We start from the raw sequence: 23,520 nt of genomic DNA on the forward strand, positions 1-23,520 counted from the left end.
ACACCTGTAATCCCAGCCCTTTGGGTGGCTGAGGCAAGTGGATCACTTGAGCTCAGGAGTTTGAGACCAGCCTGGGCACCATGGCAAAACCCCGTGTCTACTAAAAATACAAAAAATAGCCAGATGCGGTGGCTCGTGCCTGTAGTCCCAGCTACTCGGGAGGCTGAGGCAGGAGAATCGCTTGAATCTAGGAGGCAGAGGTTGTAGTGAGCCGAGATCACACCACTGCACTCCAGCCTGGGCAACACAGCGAGACTCCATCTGAAGAAAAAAAAAAAAGAAGAAGAAGAACCCAAGGGAGGGGGCACTGCCCAGCACAGGCACAGTCCCATCAGGCCCTGGGGAGCCATGCCAGGGCGTTCTGCCCAGCACAGTCACACCTAAAAGGGTCCTCAGCCGAACCCCATCCCCTTGAATACCAGCTCGTGACGGCTTTGAGCAGAACATGTCACGGGAACGGCATTGTGCAGAACTTTTTATTAAATGGCATTTAAAATATTCCCCAGGACTGTGTAGTTGGGGAAACACCACAAAATCCATTGGCCGGGAACATAATGGCTCAATGGTTCGAAACAAATGCATTGTTAAAAAGGAAAAACAGCAACTGTTGCGGGGTAATGACTTGCAGATGACTCAGCAGGCCAAACATCAAAGGAATTCGGATGGCAGCAGGTGGGCACAGGCAGCCAGGAAGCACCCCTCCCTCGCTCTCACTTCCAGCGATCGCTTTACCTCCCTGGAGTGTCTAAGCCACCCATTTCTCTCCATCATCCCTGCAATCCCCAAGCAAGAGCCACCTTGGTCTCCCGCTGGGATGTCCGTGGCTCCTCTCTAGCTGAACTCTCCATGTCCACTCCTGCCCGTCGCCCATTCCCCTCTCAGTATCCAGAGGGACCAGGTTCTTTGTTCTTTTTTTTTTTTTAAGATAGAGTCTCACTCTGTTGCCTAGGCTGGAGTGCAGTGGTGTGATCTCGGCTCACTGCAACCTCCAGCTTCAGGTTCAAACGATTCTCCTGCCTCAGCCTCCCAGGTAGCTGAGACTATAAATGTGCGCCACTGTGCCTGGCTAATTTTTTTGTATTTTTAGTAGACGGGATTTCACCATGTTGACCAGGCTGGTCTCAAACTCCTGACGTCGGGTGATCCACCTACCTCGGCCTCCCAAAGTGCTGGGATTACAGGTGTGAGCCACTGCACCCAGCCAGGACCAGGTTCTAAACCTGATCACATCGCACCTCTGCTCCCATAACATTCAGGAACTTCACACTGCAAGAACAGAATCTAGGTTCAGACAGGTGTGGCGGCTCACATCTGCAATCCCAGCACTTTGGGAGGCCAAGGCAGGCGGATCACTTGAGGTCAGGAGTTCGAGACCAGCCTGGCCAGCATGGTGAAACGCCATCTCTACTAAAAATACAAAAATTAGCCAGGCATGGTGATGGGCGCCTGTAATTTCAGCTACTTGGGAGGCTGAGGCAGGAGAATTGCTTGAACCCGGGAGGCGGAGGTTGCAGTGAGCTGAGATCACACCACTGCACTCCAGCCTGGATGACAGAGCGAGGCTCTGTCTCAAAAAAAGCAAAACAAAATAAAACATACCAACATCTAATCTCTATAAAATATTTTTAGAAGTTATCCAGGTGGGCCGGGTGCAGTGGCTCATGCCTGTAATCCCAGCACTTTGGGAGGCCGAGGCGGGTGGATCACTTGAGGTCAGGAGTTCAAGACCAGCCTGGCCGACGTGGTGAAACCCCATCTCTACTTTAAAAAAATACAAAAATTAGCCGATTACAGGCATGAGCCACCCCACCAGGCCATGCTTTCAGTTTTCAAGAAAGAAGACACCATTGTTGCCAAAGGTTTTGGTAATTTGAGAGATACAATGTATGTTTTCTCCATGTGGATCCTAGATAGTAAGGATCTGTTGAATTTGAAGTATCTATCCAGAAGTATTTTGGGTACATGTTTAAGGATTGTAAAACAGTGTTTCTATTTCTGGATATAATAAATGTATTTGTTAATATAATAACTGAACAGATTAGACCCATAAACTATTTACAGTGTTGAGTCATTTCCCACAGTTAAAATCAGGATGAAAATATATAGCTGAATACTTGCTTTGTTTCTTGTAACATTTCTTTAGTACAGAACCTGCTAAGGCCATCAAACCTATTGATCGGAAGTCAGTCCATCAGATATGCTCTGGGCCAGTGGTACTGAGTCTAAGCACTGCAGTGAAGGAGTTAGTAGAAAACAGTCTGGATGCTGGTGCCACTAATATTGGTAAGTTTGGGAGAGTTTTAAGCCACAAGAAATGATTAGTGTGTGTTGTTGTAGTCAAGAAACATTTGTTATTGAAATAAGACTATCAAGTGTTGATGTAGTAATAAACTATTATTTTTAAGTTAAAGTTAGCACCTATTATGTGCCTAGTACTTAGCTAGGTAGTAATAATAATAACGACAGCTTTTCTTGTGTTCTTATGGTGTGCCAGGCAGGTGTTATGCTAAGAATTGCACAGAAATATCTCATTTAATTTGCAGAATAGCTGGGCGTGGTGTCTGACGCCTGTAATCCTAGCCCTTTGAGAGGCTGAGGTGGGGGGATTGCTTGAGGCCAGAGTTCAAGACCAACCTGGCCAACATGGTGAGACCTCATCTCTATTAAAAAAATAAAGCAGGCCGGGTGTGGTGGCTCACACCTGTAATCCCAGCACTTTGGGAGGCCAAGGTGGGTGGATACCTGAGGTCAGCAGTTTGAGACCAGCCTGTCCAAAATGGTGAAACTCTGTCTCTACTAAAAATATAAAAATTAGCCAGACCTGGTGGCAGAAGCCTGTAATCCCAGCTACTTGGAAGGCTGAGGCATGAGAATGGCTTGAACCCGGGAGGCAGAGGTTGCAGTGAGCCGAGATCGTGCCACCGCACACCAGCCTGGGACAGAGCAAGACTCCGTCTCAATAAAATAAAATAAAATAGGCGTGGAATAGTGGCTCACATCTATAATCCCAGCACTTTGGGAGGTGGAGCAGGGCTGATCATTTGAGGTCAGGAGTTCAAGACCAGCCTAACCAACATGGTAAAACCCTGTCTCTACTAAAAATACAAAAATTAGCCAGATGTGATGGTGCATGGCTGTAATCTCAGCTCCTCGGGCGGCTGAGGGAGGAGAATTGCTTGAACCTCGGAGGTGGAGGTTGCAGTGAGCCAAGATCAGATCATGCCACTGCATTCCAGCCTGGGTGACAAGAGCAAAACTCCATCTCAAAAAAAACCAAGAAAAAAAGAAAATAACAAAATAAAATAAACCTAAAAAATTATTAATCCGCTGAGTAACTTTATGAGATAGAACTTATTATCTTCATTTTACAGATGAGGAAATTAAGGAACAGGAAATTTCCTTTTTTTGAGATTATAAAGCTAATAAAATAGGATCCAGGAAGTCTGGTTCCAGAAGCAGTTGTCTTATGTTTTTTTTTTTTTTGAGATGGAGTTTCGCTCTTGTTGCCCAGGCTATAGTGCAACGGCACGATCTCGGCTCACCGCAACCTCCGCCTCCCGGGTTCAAGCAATTCTGCCTCAGCCTTACGAGCAGCTGGGATTACAGGCATGCACCACCACACCTGGCTAATTTTGTATTTTTAGTAGAGACAGGGTTTCTCCACGTTGGTCAGGCTAGTCTGGAACTCCTGACCTCAGGTGATCTGCTCACTTTGGCCTCCCAAAGTGCTAGGATTACAGGCATGAACAACCGCGCCTGTCCCCCTTTCTCCTTACTGGGTATGTTAAAATTATTTCTTTCAAAAGAAAAGGCTGGTCAAAGTGCAACGGTGTTAACCACTAATTGATCACAACCAGTTACAGATTTTTTTGTTCCTTCTCCACTCCAACTGCTTCATTTGACTAGCCTATGGACAAAAAAAAAAAAAGAGGAAAGAAAAAGCTAAACTATTTAATCTGGGCTAGTAAATGGCCAGAAAGGGCTTTATAAAAATGAAATATACAAATATATATATATATTTTTTTAGACAGAGTCTCACTCTGTCACCCAGGCTGGAGTGCAGTGGCACAGTCTCAGCTCACTGCAATCTCTGCCTCCCAGGTTCAAGTGATTCTCGTGCCTCAGCCTCCTGAAGAGCTGGGACTATAGCGTGCACCACCACTCCTGGCTAATTTTTGTATTTTTAGTAGAGATGGGGTTTTGCCATGTTGCCCAGGCTGGTCTGGAACTCCAGGCCTCAATTGATCTGCGCTTCTCGGCCTCCCAAAGTGCTGGAATTACAGGCATGAGCCACCGCACCCTGCCCTACATATACATTTTAATTATAATATCTTTTGGATTCTTTAAAAATTTAAAAAAAATTTTTTAGTTCTTTAAAAAATTCTTTAAAACAATTTTATTTGAAGAGTAATAACAAAACAAATCTCTATTTGTGAATAAATAAACCTTGAGATCATTTATGGTTTTGCAATTCAACCTGAAAAATGAAATCAAAGCTTTTATCAAAACAAAGCATGTTTAGTGCTCTCTGTCTCACTGTCTTTTAGATGCCAAACCTTAGATTTTATGATGACTCCTCAACCGTTTAGATCTTGGTTATCTCAGAGGGATCGTCAGCTTTTTAAGAAAGTTTTGAGAGAAAAGCAAGTGAAGAAAAGCATAGTCAATGCTCAACATCACGGGTCTCTCACTGAACACACCACGCCTGGTATTCTCTCACAGCGATGTCACCATTTCTACCTGCCACGCATCGGTGAAGGTTGGGACTCGACTGGTGTTTGATCACGATGGGAAAATCATCCAGAAAACCCCCTACCCCCACCCCAGAGGGACCACAGTCAGCGTGAAGCAGTTATTTTCTACACTACCTGTGCGCCATAAGGAATTTCAAAGGAATGTTAAGAAGGTACAGTAAATTAATCTTGGTTTTCAAGAGTATTGGTTAATGCACATGAGCAAAAGATTTACTAAAGATGTTTATTCTTCAGTTGATTCTCTTCCCATAATCTATTGAGAAATGCTTTATTTGCATTTCTCGTTAAAGACTTAACATTAAAGACTTAACTTTAGGGTGATTTACTTTTTTCTTTTCATCACATAGTGTTTATTAGGACTGGGCAACATAGTGAGACTCTGTTTCTATGAAAAATTAAAAAAAAAATTGACTGGGCATGGTGGCATCCACCTGTAGTTCCAGCTACTTGGGAAGCTGAAGTGGGAGATTCACTTGAGCCCAGAAACTTGAGGCTGCAGTGAGCTATGATTGCGCCACTGTATTTCAGACTGGGAGACAGAGTAAGACCCTGTCTGGAAAAATATATATACATATATATATTTTATTTTTATTTTTTATTTTTATCTTTTTTTGAGATGGAGTCTCACTTTGGCGCCCTGGCTGGAGTGCAGTGGCACGATCTCGATTCACTGCAACCTCCACCTCCCGAGTTTAAGCGATTCACCTGCCTCAGCCTTCTGAATAGCTGGGATTACAGGTGCGCACCACCACACCTGGCTCATTTTTGTATTTTCAGCAGAGACGGGGTTTCACCATGTTGTCCAGGCTGGCCAGGCTGGTCTCAAATTCCTGACCTCAGGTGATCCGCCCACCTCGGCCTCTCAAAGTGCTGGGATTATAGGCGTGAGCCACCATGCCTGCCTTATGTACTTATATTTTAATGAGACTATTTCTCTTGGTTTTCTGATAAATGAGTTACTGGAACCCTTATGAATCTGAATGCAAAAGAAACAGCTAAATGTTATGTAATTGTTGTGTTTAAAAACCAGATTATAAAACTATCTGTATTATATGATTACGGTTTTATAAAAACAAAACAACGGCCTAAATGTGTATAGTATAAAGGCTGGAAGAGTCAGCACTTTCATGTTCTCAGCGGTTATCCTTGGATGTGAGATCTCATGCACTTTTTGCTCTCTTCTTTGTGCCTTTCCATTTTGTATGTGTATTTTTTACAATCTAAAAAGTTACTTAAACATATGCAGCTAAAAACTTTTTTTACTCGTAAAGCATTTGATGCTAATTTTAACTGTTCTTTTTTAGACAGAGTCTTCTGACTCTGTCGCCCAGGCTGGAGTGCAGTGGTGTGATCTTGGCTCACTGCAACCTCTACCTCCTGGGTTCAAGTGATTCTCCTGCCTCAGTCTCCCAAGTAGCTGGGATTATAGGTATGTGTCACCATGACCAGCTAATTTTTGTATTTTTAGTAGAGATAGGGTTTCACCATGTTGGCCAGGCTGGTCTTGCACCCCTGACCTCAAGTGATCTGCCTGCCTCAGCCTCCCAAAGTGCTGGGATTACAGGCATGAGCCACCACGCGTGGCCTTTTTTTTAAAGCTTTTTTGCAAGTCAGCTAGCAAGAACACAGGAAGAAATACTCAAATCTCCCTTACCCAGCTGGGGGCTATGTCAGGTTTTATAAGCATAGGGTAATGAGTTGTGATTTGATTGGATCTTGCAATAAAGTAATGCTGGGAGGTGTGATCTGACTGGATCCTGCCATGGGGTGACAGCAAAACTCAATCTGATTGGATCCTGGCTCCTGTCATGGAGTGTCCAGTTCTTAAATCAGTCTCAGCTCTTCAGGCCGAGCTTTTAGTTCCCACTCCGTGGTGGCATGCTTGGTTAACCTGGGCATGCACAGGGTACATGCCCTTCAACCTGTGGGTCCATGGCAATTGAAAAACAACTGACAACCTCATTACATAAAAGTTGAACTGAGCCGGGTGCAGTGACTCACGCCTGTAATCCCAGCACTTTGGGAGGCCAAGGCAGGTGGAGGTCAGGACTTCAAGACCAGCCTGGCCAAAATGGTAAAACCCCGTCTCTACTAAAAATATAAATATTAGCCAGGTGTGGTGGTGCACCCTTATAATCCCAGCTATCTGGAGGCTGAGGCAGCAGAATCACTTGAACCTAGGAGGTGGAGGTTGCAGTGAGCTGAGTTCATACCATTGCCCTCCAGCCTGGGTGACAAGAGTGAAACTCCATCAAAAAAAAAAAAAAGTTGAACCAGATTTGGTCTGATGCAGTTACAGATCTACAAACCTCACCCCCACCCTCCTGCCAACACCTTCCACTCCTCATTCTTGAGGGATTAGGGATGGAGGTCATGCTTCTGCTTCGACTTCATGCTGAGCAGGGCACTGAGTCCCCTAAAGTGAAAGGAATGAAACTCTTGGGCTTCTGAGTTCAAATGAGTTCTGGGGTCACCCGGAGTAGCTTGAAAGGCTGGTATTGTTGTAATACAAGCTGAAGGTGGAAGTGTTGGAGCCTGGAGGACAAACAGCTCACCATCCATTTAAATAAATAGGACCAAAAAGTAACAGAACAGTGGCCACGAGGGGCCCCAACAGAGGAAGAAACCAGGTGAGGTGCGGTATAGTGGACTCGACTGCCTTCTAAATCTCAGTTGTTGGCCAGGTGCAGTGGCTCACGCCTGTAATTCCAGCAAAAGAAAAGCCAAGGCAGGGTGATCACGAGGTCAGGAGTTCAAGACCAGCCTGGCAAACATGGTGAAGCCCTGTCTCTACTAAAAATACAAAAATTAGCTAGGCATGGTGGCATGTGCTGTAGTCCCAGCTACTCGGGAGGCTGAGGCAGGAGAATCGCTTGAACCCGGGAGGCGGAGGTTGCAGTGAGCCGAGATTGTGCCACTGCACTCCAGCCTAGGTAACAGAGCAGGACTCCATCTCAGTCAATCAATCAATCAGTCAGTCTCAGCGGTTGAACTACCCTTGACATGGTTCAGCTCTGTATCCACACCCAAATCTCATGTCAAATTGTAATTCCCAGTGTTGTGGGAGGGACCTGGTGGGAGGTGATTGGCTCATGGGGGCCGACTTCCCCCTTGCTGTTCTCGTGATATTGAGTGAGCGCTTGTGGGATCTGGTTGTTTAAAAGCATGCAGCCCTCCCACTTCACTCTCTCTGTCTCTCCTGCTCCAACATGGCCAGACGTGCCTGCTTCCCCTTCGCCTTCTGCCGTGATTGTCAGTTTCCTGAGGCCTCCCCAGCCATGCTTCCTGTACAGCCTGCAGAACTGTGAGTCAATTAAACCTCTTTTCTTCATAAATTACCCAGTTTCTCATAGTTCTTTATAGCAGTGTGAAAACAGACTAATGGCCCTTCTGGTTGAAGGAATGCAGCCATTCTGCTTGTTTGACTATGTCCTTTCTATTCATCTCTATTTCCTGGGAGGTGTTTATCCAAGTGCAATAGGAGGTATTGGTGACCGCACAGTCCCCTCAGTGTTCTGCTAGTAAATAGTTGAAGGTTGATCATTGATCTCCTGCGTTTTCAGTCTGGCATGGAAAAGCCCCCGTGCAACTGGTAAAGATATCAATAAGCACCAGGAGGTATCTAAATCCACCAGGAGCCATAGGCATCACGTTGACGTCCATTTACCAGTCTTCCCTGGCAAGATTCTTCTGAATTGTGCTGCCTTGACCAAAAGAGGTATGGGAGGGGCTGGGCGCAGTGGCTTGTGCCTGTAATCCCAACATTTTGGGAAACCAATTCAGGTGGATCATTAGAGGTCAGGGGTTCAAGACCATCCTGGCCAACATGGTGACATCCCATCTCTACTAAAAATACAATAAGTTAGCTGGGTTTGGTGTTGGGTGCCTGTAATCCCAGCTACTCGAGAGGCTGAGGCAGGATAATCGCTTGAACCTGGGAGGAGGAGGTGGCAGTGAGCTGAGATCGTGCCATTGCACTCCAGCGTGGGCAACAAGAGTGAAACGTCGTCTCAAAAAATAAAACAAAAGTCCGGGCGTGATGGCTCACACCTGTAATCCCAGCACTTTGGGAGGCCAAGACGGGTGGATCACGAGGTCAGGAGTTCAAGACCAGCCTGGCCTAGATGGTGAAACCCTGTCTCTACTAAAAATGCAAATATTAGCTGGGCATGGTGGCATGCACCTGTAATCTCAGCTACTCAGAAGTCTGATGCAGGAGAATTGCTAAAACCCAGGAGGGAGAGGTTACATTGAGCCGAGATTGCGCCACTGCACTCTAGCCTGGGCGACAGAGCAAGACTCCGTCTCGAAAGAAAGAAAGAGAAAGGAAATTCCCCAGGGAAGTACCTCGGCTTATTTCATAAACAGGTACTGAAGGAAGCAGAGGCATGTGGAGGACTTCCCCACCTCGTGCAGCTATTTGGGCCGTGGCATCTGAAATTTCTTATTTCAGAGTCACCCCTTTGATGACCTTGGCAGTGAACTGCAGTCATCTGTTTAGGCCTTTCCATGGCCCACGTCAATGCCGGTATTTCTGTCTGTTGCACATTTGATTTCCTTGTTGTTGGCATTTAGAAGGCCCCCCGTTTCCCAGATCACACCACGGGCATGGACCGCAGAGATTGCATCTTGTGAGTCTGTAGAAACAGTCAAGGCCTTGTCCTCTCTTAGGTCCAGAGCTCAGGTTAATGCAGATTTTCCCGGCCATCTGTGCTGAAGTCCCTGTGGGGAGGCTCCTGGCTGGTTTCCTGTAGGTAGACAGCTACACGTCCTGCCCTTCATTGGCTTCTTTCCATGAAGCTCCTGCCATCTACAAAACATGTCTCCCTTCTTGAACCACATCTCTGTTATTGAAACTCTAGAAGTCGACCGGGCATGGTGGCTATGCCTATAATCCCAGCATTTTGGGATGCCAAGGCGGGTGGATCACCTGAGGTCAGGAGTTCAAGACCAGCCTGGCCAACATGGCGAAACCCCGTCTCTAATACAAATACAAAAATTAGCCAAGCATGGTGGCCACTGTACTCCAGCCTGGGCGACAGAGCAAGACTCCGTCTCAAAAAAAAAAAAAAAAAAAAGAGAAAGAAAGTATCATGCTTTTCTGCATTCTGTGAATTGTTTTAGTGAGTTATTGAACTTGAGGGCATGGTGGGAACCTCCAAATTTGCAGCCAGTTGGTGAGAAGTACATGTGGTCTGAGGACACCCAAGCCTGCAGGTGTGTCTAAAGCGAGGGCAGCCTAGTGGGGGCTGGTGGCCTTAACCTGTGGCATTTGAGGTAACATCAGGGAGTTGACATCAGAATTGCATCACATAGGCTGGGCGCGGTGGCTCACGCCTGTAATCCTAGCACTTTGGGAGGCCAAGGCGGGCAGATCACGAGGTCAGGAGATCGAGACCATCCTGGCTAACACAGTGAAACCCCGTCTCTACTAAAAATACAAAAAATTAGCCAGGCATGGTGGCGGGCGCCTGTAGTCCCAGCTACTCGGGAGGCTGAGGCAGGAGAATGGCGTGAACCCAGGAGGCGGAGCTTGCATTGAGCCAAGATCACGCCACCGCACTCCAGCCTGGGTGACAGAGCGAGACTCCATCCCCCCACAAAAAAAAAAAAAAGACAAAAAACAGAATTGTGTCACACAGGCCAGATGCAGTGGCTCATGCTTATAATCCCAGCAATTTGAAAGGCAAGGTAAGAGGATTGCTTGAGCTTGAGTCTGAGGCCGCAGTGAGCTATGACCACACCACTGCACCCCAGTCTGGGTGACAGCGCAAGACCCCAACTCCAAAAAGAAAAAAGAAAAATCACAAAGAATTGCATGGCAGAGTGCCTGTCTTTCACAGCTTTAACTGCTGAAGGAACTTTCTTTTTTTTTTTTTTTTTTGAGAGGGGGTGAGGAGACACAATCTCTGCTAGTGATTCTCTTGCCTCAGCCTCCCAAATAGCTGGGATTATAGGCGTGCACCACCACGCCTGCCTAATTTTTGTATTTTTAGTAGAGACAGGGTTTCACCATGTTGGCCAGGCTGGTCTCAAACTCCTGCTGGGATCATGGGCGTGAGCCACCACTCCCGGCCACCTTTAGAGTTTTCTTACCACCTGGTTTTCCTCTCTCAATATCTTTCTCTCATTTCCTGCCTTAAAACTCTAGCTTGGCATCTGGGCACAGTAGCTCATGCCTGTAATCCCAGCACTTTGGGAGGCCGAGGTGGGTAGATCACTTGAAGTCAGGAGTTCGAGACCAGCCTGGCCAACATGGTGAAACCTTGTCTCTACTATTTTTACAAAAGTTAGTCGGACGTACAGACGGGTGCCTGTAGTCCCAGCTGCTTGGGAGGCTGAGGCAGGAGAATTTGTTTGAACCCAGAGGTGAAAGTTGGAGGGAGCCGAGGTTGTGCCACTGCACTCCAGCCTGGGAGACAGAGCAAGACTCTGTCTCCAAAACAAACAAACAAAAAAACCCTGTAGCTTGGGATCAGCCTTCTCTTCTATTGTTTTTCTTTAAAAAATAAAAATTAAAAATAGATGTAGATGCTATGTTGCTGAGGCTGGCCTCAAACTCCTGGCCTCAGGTGATCCTCCCGCCATGACCTCCAAAACTGCAGGGATTGTAGGTGTGAGCACTGCACCCAGCCTTATGTTTTTTTCTACATAAAAAACAGCACAGGATTATCTTCCAGAGCTAATAAATATGTTCAAATAACCACAACCCCATTAAGGAAAAATATCACTGGGCAGCAAATAATCAATCCAGACCAATATGATCACAGTTGCTGTGAAGGTGAGAAAAGTTCATTTTTATTATGTTTCCCCAAGAGACGCACTCTATTGTTCTCTTGAAAACACACAGCTCATGTCCTCCTTTAGAACACACATCCTCTTTAAAGTAACATACAAAGATGCCAAAACAAGGTAAAAAATTACATCTGAATTCTCACATTTCAAACATATATGAAATATCAAATAAAAATTTATTTTTACAAGAATTTAGGGGAACTACTACATAGCTATAAATGTAATATATATGTTAACTAAGTATCATAGATAAAAACCATGCTCCCTTCAGCAGCACGTGTAATAATAGATACAAAGATTGAAAGGTAAAAGATTTAGGATGAAAAGAATCCTCTCTTAAAAAGGAAAGCAAAATTATACGTATGTGTATATAACAGTTATAACACCCATCACACAGCTTTATAGAAACAGCATCTATTCAAAAATACCAGTATTTCCAAAATATTTAAAATAATATTTCAAGTAATAATATTCAAATAAATAAATATATTTAATATTTCAATAAATAAAATAATATTTAAATAATTCTATACCCATGTTTTTCAAAATAAACCAATAAATTAGATAGTATATATTAGACGTGTTAGTATATATATCTGAGACATGTTAAAAATCACAACTGAATTCTCACAATTCAGTCACAGACCTAAACAGCAAATAAAAATTTCTATCACCAGAATTATGTTTTTTTCTGGTGGGGAACTACCAATAGCTATAAATAGAAGAGATTATTATGGAAATATCATAGATAAAAAGAGTGCTCACTTCAGGAGCACATATAATAATACAGAAACAAATTTAAAGATAATAAAATATTTAGGATAAAAAGAATTGTCTCTTAAAAATGAAAAGAAAATTATCTTTATGTATATATAACAACTATAACTCTCATCAAAAAACTACAGGAACAGCATGTTTTCAAAAGTACAACAATTTCCAAACTATTTGAAATAAATCTATGAATAATTCAATGGCCAACATTTTCCAAACAAACCAATAAAATGCAGAGTGTGCATGAAGCTATCTGTTACAATCTGTGGCACTGATATTTCACAAAAGAATTCTGTGCCAATCTGAGCCCCTGCATTGTGCCTTCAAATGCTCCTGGACTGTGGCAACCAAGTCCGTAAGAAACAGGACCTCAGGTTCCGCCCCAGGGAGGTTGGCATTCAGCAATATAAAAAGGGTGGTGGTGCCGCAGGAAAGGGTGGAACTGGAAACACTCCTGGTTTCTTACTTTTCTCCAAGGACTCCTAGAAGGACCCCACCCCCCTCCCCCCACCCCTGCTCCCAGGAGGACAACGTGATCACTGTATTCAGCTCCATCAAGAATGGTCCAGGTTCTTCTAGATGATCTGCACAAATGGTTCCTCTCCTCTTTCCTGTTGACTGCCATTAGCATTGGAATAAAGTTCCTGCTGAAAATCCACATCTCCCGTGGGTCCGGTGTTCTGGAAGTGAGAGAGACAATGTCACACTTCAAGGAGGCAGCTCTCTAGACAGGAAGGTTATTCACGTCCCATGTCAAGTCTAGAGTTCAGAGCAATTGAGAAATGCAATTTTATCTGCTGCCTTTCATTCTATACCCTGCTTCTGAACCATCGTGTTCAACTGTGAAACTCACACTTTGGTGACCACGACTCCAAAACTCACTTAATACACCCAAGGTCAGCCCCAGTGATCTGCTTCATAGCAAGGACTTTGGGTGGGTCTGCCCAGGGAGTAGGGCACCCTCAGAGAATGTGGCTTTGGACTTCATCACAGCTGGGGCCTTTTGTGTCACTTAAGATCTAAACTTGTAACCATGCTAGATGTGTTTCTAATGTGACAACATCACAAACCACGAGTCCAGAAGCCTAATCCTTAATCCTACCTCCTCATGATGAAGTCTCATGCTCTGTGCTCACCGTGGTTAGCTGCACAAGATGTAAACCAAAGCTTCACTGAACCCTCGACCCAAATCGGTAACTCAAGTGCGTCAGTCATAATGAACCTCCCCAAACTCAGTATTTATGATTCTTTTTGAGGCAGGGTCTCACTCTGTCGCCCAGACTGGAGTGCAGTGGCAGGATCAGGGCTCCGTGCAGCCCCGACCTTCCAGGCTCCAGCGATCCTCCCGCCTCAGCCTCCTGAGTAGTTGGGAGTAGAGATGCATCCCACGTCGCCTGGCTAATTTTTGTATTTTTGTGGAGAGGGGAATCTCGCCACGTTGCCCAGGCTTGAAGCCGGATCAAGCAATTGGGTTCCTCGGATTTCCAAAATAGACCCCAATATTCTGCCTTTACCCCGGAGGATGCAGATGTACCTTCTCTCAGGCCGATGACCTCAGGCCTCCACGGTCCCTGGAGCTCTAGGAAAGGCGAGCGCGATCTCGCGCCCACACCCAGTGCTCTGGGTCATAAGCCTGGATCTGGAAAAACAAACGCCCTTTGAGAAGACAGGGACTCGCCAGGATACCCCTCTCTCCCCTCATCCAGCCTCCAGCCCACCCGATTCCTCCCCACCTCCTCCACCTCCCCAGGCCCCACTCACCTCCTCCAACTCCTCCCGGGAAACCCAAGCCCTGCCGCTCATGGAACAGAAGAACTGGAACCGAAGTTTCTGGAACAGGGCTATCTGAGAGCGGTTCTTCCTGGCCCTCGGGTTCATGCAACGGCATAACTGGAACCGACGGTTACGGACCAAGGGTATGCGAGAGCGGGTCTTCCCATACAGGAAGTAGAAGATGTTTTGTTTGGGGTCCTCGTCGTCCTCCTCCATGTCATTGGCCAGGTAGCTGAGGACAGAAATCAGGTTGCTGCTCAGGGGCACCACCAGGAGAGGCCTCCGGCTGAGGTCAGCTTCCCAGAGAGGAAGGTAAGGGACCGTCCCTAGCTCAGGACTGGCACCCACCCTGCAGAGAGCCACGCCTTCCTCAGGAGGGCTCTGCTGGACAGAGACCTGATCAAGGGCGTCTCCCACTCCTTCAGGATGGAGACAAAAACCCAACTGGTGGCCGAGAGTGGTGGCTTATGCCTGGAATCCCAGCACATTGGGAGGCCAAAGCAGGAGGATCACTTGAGGCCAGGAGTTTGAGACGGGCCTGGGCAACATAGCAAGACCCTCGTCTCTATTAAAAATATAAGAAATATGCCAGACGCGGTGGCTCATGCCTGTAATACCAGCACTTTAGAAGGCTGAAGCAGGTGGATTGCTTGAGACCAGGAGTTGGAGACCAGCCTGGTCAACACGGAGAAACCCCATCTCTACTAAAAATACAAAAATCAGCCTGGTGCGGTGGCACACCCGTTAGGCCTAGCTACTCAGGAGGCTGAAGCATAAGAATTGTGTGAACCCAGGAGGCGGAGGTTGCAGTGAGTCGAGATTGGGCCACTCCATTCCAGCCTGAGAGGCAGAGCAAGACTCTGTCTCAATAAACAAACAAACAAACAAACAAACTGTCCAGGTGTGGTGGCACAGCCCTGTAGTCGGAGCTAATAAAGAAGCTGAGGTGGGAGGATCGCTTGAGCCCAGGATATGGAGGCTGCGGTGAGCTATGATCTCACCACTGCACTCCAGCTTGGGGGACAGGGCAAGTCTGTCTCAAAAAAATAAAAGAAATTGAATACATTGATATTTTGCCAGGACCCTGCCTTCTACAGGCATCTAGTCTAATGGGACTGGGAGTAATCAAGGCAGATGACCTAATCCCAGTGTCCAGGATGTAACTAGAGAGCTACGGGCATGCAGAAGTTGGAAGATGAGGGAAGGCATCACAGAGGCTGTGGGGTGAACTGACTTCAAGGAATGGGTCCTTCCCTTCAGAGCCACATGTGTGCGGGACACCCAGACAGAAAACACAAACACAAAGTCGAGTGGAGGGCATTTGGAAGGAGCAGTGAAGCCGAGCCAGGAAATACCAAGATGGCGAGCCAGTGTGCTTGTAGAGATTGTAGAGAGGGTAGAATTGACACTGTGGACCCTGGCCTCGATAGAGAAAGGCATCAGCTAAGGAAGTTGTTCAGGTGGGCAGTGAGGTTGTCGTGCTTTGGAAAGATGTTCAGGCTGCACTAGGAAGCCCCCTGGCTTGGGGAGAGACTCCAGGAGACCCCAGCAGGGAGCATTTGACAGTGGATTCAAGTGATGCGAGGGGGACCTGAACTGTGGCCTCTGTCATGGGAACCCAGAGGAGGTCGATGGCGTTTGTGGTTGATGTGGGAAGGAGAGAGAGAGAAGAACCAGAAACGTCTGCTTGCTGGAGGAAGCGGCATGTCCGCTCCTCCACTCCTTTTCTTTTCCCCTTAGGAGCGGTTTATGGTTCCTTTTGTTTTATTCTTTTATTTGTACACTGGCATTGGAGTTTGTTTTTTTGGCTTTTTTTTTTTTTTTTTTTTTTTTTGAGAAAAAGTCTCACTCTGTCACCCAGGCTGGAGTGCAGTGGCTCGACCTTAGCTTACTGCAACCTCCACCTCCTGGGTTCAAAGGGTTCTCTTGCCTCAGCCTCCCGAGTAGCTGGGATTACAGATGCACACCACCACGCCCAGCTAATTTTTCTATTTTTAGTAGAGACGGGGTTTGGCCATGTTGGCCAGGCTGGTCTCGAACTGCTGACCTCAGGTGATCTGCCTGCCTCGGCCTCCCAAAGTGCTGGGATTACAGGTGTATGCCACTGTGCCCAGCCTGAGTTTCTGTTTAGAAACAACAGTCTATGATAGTATAATCCTCTCTTTTTTGTACACAGAGTAAAGAGGACAAATAGGTGAAAGAATAAATGAAAGGCTGGAATCCCACTTCCCCCGCTGTCCCAGGGCATTGGATATTGACGGATAGGAGGAAGCAAACCACTCACAGAGCCAGGAAGAAATGAATGCGTTGGTATTGCCAGGAGGGGAGGCCGGCCCGGCTGAAATACGCTATGACCATAGCCAGGAGATACTGATGGAGAGAAAGGAACACAGAGAGGGAGAGGTCACATCTTGGAAGAGGAAGATTGTGGAGAGGGGGAATGAGGGTCTGGGGAGGGGCTGCCCATCAGAGAAGGGACCTCAGTGTTGGGGTGACTGTACTCATTTGGAAATTGCAGGATGGAGGGGTATTCGAAGGTCAGATGCAAATCCGAGAAGCCAGAGGAAGGGTTTTGGGTGATGCTCCCAGGATGGTGGGCTCCGATGGGATCTTTGGAGGGGGTGTGTCTAGGTCGGCTGGTGTCAGGAGGGTCTTTTGTGTGCCAGGCAGAGAACTGTCCCGAAGAGCTGAGAGTAGAGGGGCTAGGAGCTTCAGGGCTGCGGCCAGACTGTGGCCCAGAGCTCAGATCCCAAAGGACCCATAGGAGAGGCAGGGGCCACTCATTCACTCTGCAAGAGACCAGCAGAATCCTGAGGGAGATGCTGACAAATCATAAAAAGACCAAGAATAGCCGGGAGTGGTGGCTCAAGCCTGTGATCCCAGTACTTTTTGAGAGGTGGAGACAGGAGGATCATGTGAGCCCAACAGTTCGAGAACAACCTGGGCAACATAGTGAGACCCTGTTTCTACAAACATTTCAAAAATTAGTTGAGCATGGTGGCATGTGCCTAGTCCCAGCTCCTCAGGAGGCTGAGGAAAGAAGATTGCTTGAGCCCAGGAATTAGAGGCTGCAATGAGCTATGATCATGCCACTGCACTCCATCCTGGGGAGCAGAGCTAGACTCTGTCTCACAAAAAAAAAATGTGTGGGTGCCAAGACTCAAGACCGTGGGAGCTGGTCGGGCACAGTGGCTGACGTCTATAATCTCAGCACTTTGGGAGGCCAAGGCGGGTGGATCGCCTGAGGTCAGGTGTTCAGGACCAACCTGGCCAACATGGCAAAACCCCGTTTCTACTAAAAACACAAAAATTAGCCAGGCGTGGTGGTTCATGTCTGTAATCCCAGCTGCTTGGAGGCTGAGGCAGGAGAATCGCTTGAACCCGGGAGGCATCGGCTGCAGTGAGTCAAGATCGAGACACTGCCCTCCAGCCTGGGCAACAGAGCAAGACTCTGTCTCACAAAAAAAAAAAAAAAAAAAAAAAAAAAAAAAGACTGTAGGAGCATCTGGTGGGAGGTGGTGGAGGGAGAACTGTGGGTTTGGAAGCTGCGCCCTCCCCCCAGCCATGCGTTGGAACAGGAACAGTTACATGGAGAACAACCTTACCTTGTCCGACACCCTCAGATCTTTGTCCCAGGCCAGGAATCTTTTAATGACAGGATCCTCTGTGATTAGAGAGCAGATGTCAGTGTGAGAAGCAGGACAGGGTTTCCGTGGGAGCAGCAGGGCAGTGAGGAGAAGTGTGCCTCCCGGGGGGAAAGTCTCAGGATTGTGGCCGCGGGTGAGGTGGATGGGAGAGGGGAGAATGACTTTCACTGGGCAAGGGAGAGAGGCTCCTGCTCTGAGACTCCCCTGAGAAGAGGCCGAAGGAGGCCCTGGGTGTGAGAATCTACAGGATGTAGAGCTGGGAATCAGCCAGGACCCCCTCCAGCAGACACGGAGGGACCACTGCAGAGTCATAAAGGAATTCCCATCATTTCCTCATGAGACAGTCACATCAGGGTGTGACCATGGCCTTGGGATCCCCCACTATGGATGGAGACACTTAGGTTTAGAAAAGTCAGTAAGAGACTTTAAGTTTCAGAGGGCACAGCTGAAACCACTTTCTTTGTTTATTGATTTTGTTTTTCTTTATTTGATTTTTATTTTTATTTATTTATTAATTTATTTTGAGACAGAGTCTTGCTCTGTGGGCCAGGCTGGAATGCAGTGGCCTGATCTTGGCTCGCTGCAACCTCTGCCTCCCGGGTTTAAGCGATTCTCCTGTCTCAGCCTCCCGAGTAGCTGGGATTACATGCATGAGCTACTGTGCCCAGCCTTGGTTTTTCTTTTGAGACAGGGTTTTGCTCTGTCACCCAGGCTGGAGTGCAGTGGTGTAGTCATAGCTCACTGCAGCCTCAAAGTCCTGAGTTCAAGCAATCCTCTTGCCTCAGCCTCCCAACGTGCTAGGATCTCAGGCGTGAGCCACTGCACCTGGCCTGAAACCAAGCTTTCTTATCCCAAGTTCTGACCTTTATCAAGTTGACCTAATCCTTTATCATCTCCTAAGTGTCCCTCATGAGTGATCACTTCACATTCCTCCCACATGGAGAGCTCACCCACTGGGGCATATTTTTCCCATTGGAAAAGTGTGGTTATTGGAAGTTTCCTGTTTTTGGAAAGAACAGGATTGGAGGTGCTCTCTGGGGTGTCCTCCTACCAAGCAGCCTGTTGAAGGCCTCGTGGTGCTCAGGGAGCACGAGCGACACTCGCCGTCGCTTCAGCTTCATCTTGAGGCCACACAGCATCTCCACCACCCAGATCTCCTCAGGCTCAGGGGCGAGCACCTTCCGTGGCTCCTCCTCCAACGACTCCTCAGATTCGTCCCACCACTCCCTCTTCCTTTTCCAGCAAAAGGACCTATGCGGGGGGCTGGGATCTACCCCAGGGGCTGAGTAAAGAAACCAGGCCACGGTGTAATGCTTCTGCAGTTGATCACACTAGAGCCCGACCCAAAACCCCAAACCACTCTCCATCCTCCCCAGCCTTGCAGACTGCTGGCTTCTCCAAGCCATCTTTCCTTCTGTCTGTCTCCTCTGCTGAGCTCCATGTGCCGCTCCTTCTCCTCCCCATTCTCCCGTTTCTCTGTCCTCAGAACACTTCCTCATATCCTTCCCTGGTCCCTGGCTCTCTGAGTCTCTCTTTTTTTTTTTTTTTTGTTGTTGTTGTTGAGAAACAGTCTTGCTTTGTGGCCTAGGCTGGAGTGTAGTGGTGCGATCTTGGCTCACTGGAACCTCCGCCTCCTGGGTTCCAGTGATTCTCCTGCCTAAGCCTCCCAAGTAGCTGGGATTACAGGTGCCCACCAGAACGCCCAGCTCATTTTTGTGCTTCTAGAAGAGACAGGGTTTCACCATGTTGGCCAGGCTGGTCTCCAACTCCTGGCCTCAAGTGATCTGCCTGCCTGGCCTCCCAAAGTGCTGGGATTACAGGTGTGAGCCACTGCACCCTGCCTCAGTACCTCCATTCTTCCCACACACCCTCCTCACGTGCTCCTTCCTGACTTCTGGGCCCGCCCTTCCTTCTTTTTTTTTTTTTTTTTTTTTTTTTGAGAGAGCGTCTCACTCTCTCACCCAGAATGGAATGCAGTGGCGCTATCTTGGCTCAAAGCATCCTCTTCCACCTGGGTTCAAGCGATTATCCTGTCTCAGCCTCCCGAGTAGCTGGGATAACAGGCATGCCTGGCTAATTTTTGTATTGTTAGTATAAATGAGGTTTCGCTATATTGGTCTGGTTGGTCTCGAACAACTGACCTCAAGTGATCCACCCATCTCAGCCTCCCAAAGTAATGGGATTACAGGCATGAGCTACCACACCCGGCCTTCGTTTTTCTTTTGACACAGGGTTTTGCTCTGTCACCCAGGCTGGAGTGCAGTGGTGCAGTCATAGCTCACTGCAGTCTCAAAGTCCTGAGTTCAAGCAATCCTCTTGCCTCAGCCTCCCAGCGTGCTAGGATCTCAGGCGTGAGCCACTGCACCTGGCCCGAAACCAAGCTTTCTCATCCCAAGCGCCAACCTTTATCAAGTCTAGCCTAGTCCTCTATCATCTCCTAAGTGTCCCTCATGAGTGATCACTTCTGAGTCCTCCTGCGTGGAGAGCTCACCCACTGGGGGCGTATCTTTCCCATTGGAAAAGTGTGGTTATTGGAAGTTTCCTCTTTTTAGAAAGAACAGGATTGGAGGTGCTCTCTGGGGTGTCCTCCTACCAAGCTGACTGTTGAAGTCCTTGTGGTGCTCAGGGAGGATGGGTGACACTCGCTGTTGCTTCAGCTTCATCTTGAGCCCACACAGCATCTCCACTACCCAGGTCTCCTCAGGCTCAGGGGCGAGCTCCTTCTCCGGCTCCTCCTCAGATTCATCTGACCACTCCTTCTTCCTTTTCCAGCCAAGGGACCTACATGGGGGGCTGGGATCTACCCCAGGGGCTGAGTAAAGAAACCAGGCCACCGTGTAATGCTTCTGCATCTGATCACCTTAGACCCCGACCCAAAACCCCAAACCACTCTCCATCCTCCCCAGACTCGCAGACTGCTGGCTTCTCTAAGCCATCTTTCTGATTTTCTCCTCTGCTCAACCCCATGTGCCGCTCCTTCCCCTCCCCATTCTTCTCTCTCTCTGTCCTCCGAACACTGCTTCATGTCCTCCCCTGGTCTCTGGCTCTCTGAGTCCCTCCTTTTTTGTTTTGTTTTGTTTTGACACAGAATCTTGCTTTGTCACCCAGGCTGGAGTGTAGTGGTGCAATCTCAGCTCACTGCAACATCCATCTCCTGGATTCCATTTATTTTTCTGCCTCAGCCTCTCAGGTAGCTGGGATTACAGGTGCCTGCCATAATGCCCAGCTCAATTTTGTACTTTTAGTAGAGACAGGGTTTCACCATGTTGGCCAGGCTGGTCTCAAACTCCTGGCCTCAAGTGATCCGCCTGCCTTGGCCTCCCAAAGTTCTGGGGTTACAGGTGTGAGCCACTGCACCCAGCCTGAATTTCTCCATTCTTCCCACACACCCTCCTCAGGTTCTCCTTCCTGACCGCTGACCCTTCTTTTCTTTTCTTTTCTTTTTTTTTTTTTTTTGGAGTGCAGTAGCGTGATCTCAGCTCACTGCAACCTCTTCCTCCCAGTCTCAAGTGATTCTCCTGTCTCAGCCTCCTGAGTAGCTGGGATTACAGGTGTGCACCACTACCACTTGACTAATTTTTATACTTTTAGTAGAGATGGGGTTTCACCATATTGGCCAGGCTGGCCTTGAACTCCTGACCTCAGGTGATCCGCCCGCCTCAGCCTCCCAAAGTGCTGGGGTTACAGGCGTGAGCCACCGCACCTGGCCCCCTTCCTTCGTCTTAGTCAATCCTATCCCACCTCTTCTTCCACCAGTCCCCTCACCTGATGATCCCAACACTTCATCATCCACCACCTCCTGGAGGGAGTACCCCGAGGTGCTCCGCTGGGGACTCTGCTCATTCTGGGGGTGAGGTTGACGGCTGGTCGTGATCTTTCCCTTAATCTGTCCCCTCTTACGGAACCTAGTCTCCGTTCTGTCCATGGCCTTCTTCTGGACACTGCTAGGATCCAGAAGAGTATGTTATCAATTCTCAAGCCTAGGAGAAGTCAGGAGTGGAGAACAGCTCTGAGAAGATACTGTTGTCCAACTGATCTCCAGGCACCACGGAGTCCGGTCCCTCCAATCAGGAAGGTCGGAATCTCTGATGTCATCGTTCATGCCAACCTGGCAACCAGTTTGAAAAAAAACACATGTAACTGCCAGGCTGATCTCTTGTCCTGGAGATCCTGGGTGAATGGTATCTCCTGCCACTGTCCCAACCTCAGACCATTGTCCAAAAGCATCTTCGGGGACTCCACATCCCTCTGTTCCCTGTCCCAGCAGAGGCTGTGTCCTCTCCACTCAAAGCCTGAAGCATGTTGGGGTCTCTTCATCTCTGTACATGCCCATTTCAGAGTCCAGGCTGGTGGGAGAGGAAACAGAGTGGGAAAGAAAACTAGGGTAAGCAGAAACGATGAAACCTTATAAGAGTGAGATTATCATGTACAAGAGTGAGATTATCACGTACAAGAGTGAGATTATCATGTACAAGAGTGAGATTATCATGTACAAGAGTGAGATTATCATGTACAAGAGTGAGATTATCATGTACAAGAGTGAGATTATCATGTACAAGAGTGAGATTATCATGTACAAGAGATCCCAGGAATACTGACTTGATGAAAAAGTCACATCAGAGCACTCAGTTTGGCAGAGCTTTTCTGCCGAATGTTTACTCACATTCACTGTCCGAGATTCTATACTGGGGGTACACACGTCCTCTGCCCTAAGGCAATTTTGAGTCCAAGAGACATTTTGAGGCCTAAAGATCATAGGAAACTGCCCCTGAGCTCACACATATTTCCAATGGTGTCCCCAATTTCAGGGAATCCATGGATTACCTAAGCCAGCCCCTCCAGTTCGGCTAAGAAACTCTAGTCTATATATCAAGTTTTGTATCATATGTATTGCTCTGAACTCAGAAATTTCCCTTCCATTTATGGATTCTATGAATAAAATATCACATGTACAAAAAGACTAAGTCGAAAAATTTCAGCTGTGCACAGTGGCTCCTGCTTGTAATCCCAGCACTTTGGGTGGCCAAGGGAGGAAGATTGCCTGAGGCCAGCAGTTCAAGACCAGTATAGGCAACATAGCAAGAGCCCATCTCTAAAAAAACCAAACCAAACCAAATTAGCCAGGTGTGGTGGCTGGCACCTGTGTTCCAACTACTTGGGAGACTCATGTGACAGGAAGATCACTTGAGCCCAGGAGTTAGAAGCTGCAGTGAGCCATGATCTTGCCACTGCACTCCAGTCTGGGCAACACAGCAAGATATTGTGTCAAAAAAATTTTTTTTGATAAAAAATAAAAGAGTTACATGACATTCAGAGACCATCCAAAAAACCTGTGGGTTCCCGGCTGGGCTCAGTGGCTCATGCCTGTAATCCCAGCACTTTGGGAGGCCAAAGTGGGTGGATCACTTGAGGTCAGGAGTTTGAGACCAGCCTGGACAACATGGTGAAACCCCATCTCTACTAAAAATACAAAAAATTAGCCAGGCATGGTGGTGGATGCCTGTAATCGCAGCTACTCAGGAGAGGGCGCTGGAGAATCACTTGAACTCATGGTGCGCAGGTTGCAGGGAGCCAAGATCGCACCATTGTGCTCCAGCCTGGGCAACAAGAGCAAAACTCCATCTCAAAAAAAATAAAGAACCTGCGAGTGAGTTCCCACACGTTTTCCTAATGGGCTGCTGCTTTCCTAGGAGTCTCTCGCTCATAGAAAAGGCACACACTGAAAGAGGAAGCAGATCCCATTGCTGTGGAAGTCCCATTGTTAGGAAGCTCTGCTTTTC

At 47.6% G+C, this 23,520-nt stretch overlaps 1 protein-coding gene across 4 annotated transcripts; it reads right to left on the minus strand.

The window, feature by feature from the left end:
* Positions 1–11,518: 11,518 nt before the first annotated feature.
* On the minus strand, positions 11,519–23,503 carry SPDYE16 (speedy/RINGO cell cycle regulator family member E16). Of its 4 annotated transcripts, NM_001394943.1 has the most exons (9): positions 23,382–23,503; positions 21,506–22,086; positions 20,334–20,552; positions 18,792–19,022; positions 17,699–17,757; positions 16,378–16,463; positions 14,082–14,325; positions 13,855–13,959; positions 11,519–13,000 (listed from the first exon to the last, which is right to left on the minus strand). In NM_001394943.1, the coding sequence occupies exons 2-8, from the start codon at positions 21,663–21,665 to the stop codon at positions 13,900–13,902; spliced, it is 1,059 nt and encodes a 352-aa protein (NP_001381872.1). In that variant the 5' UTR covers positions 21,666–22,086; positions 23,382–23,503; the 3' UTR covers positions 11,519–13,000; positions 13,855–13,899. The 4 variants fall into 4 exon arrangements, with proteins under 4 accessions (NP_001381872.1, XP_016868376.1, NP_001338526.1 ...); XM_017012887.3 differs by lacking the exons at positions 21,506–22,086; positions 23,382–23,503 and having other exon boundaries at positions 12,395–13,000; positions 20,334–20,592; NM_001351597.1 differs by lacking the exons at positions 11,519–13,000; positions 21,506–22,086; positions 23,382–23,503 and having other exon boundaries at positions 13,900–13,959; positions 20,334–20,592.
* Positions 23,504–23,520: the final 17 nt, after the last annotated feature.

The sequence above is a fragment of the Homo sapiens genome, chromosome 7 (assembly GCF_000001405.40).
Source record: "Homo sapiens chromosome 7, GRCh38.p14 Primary Assembly".
Lineage (NCBI taxonomy): Eukaryota > Metazoa > Chordata > Mammalia > Primates > Hominidae > Homo > Homo sapiens.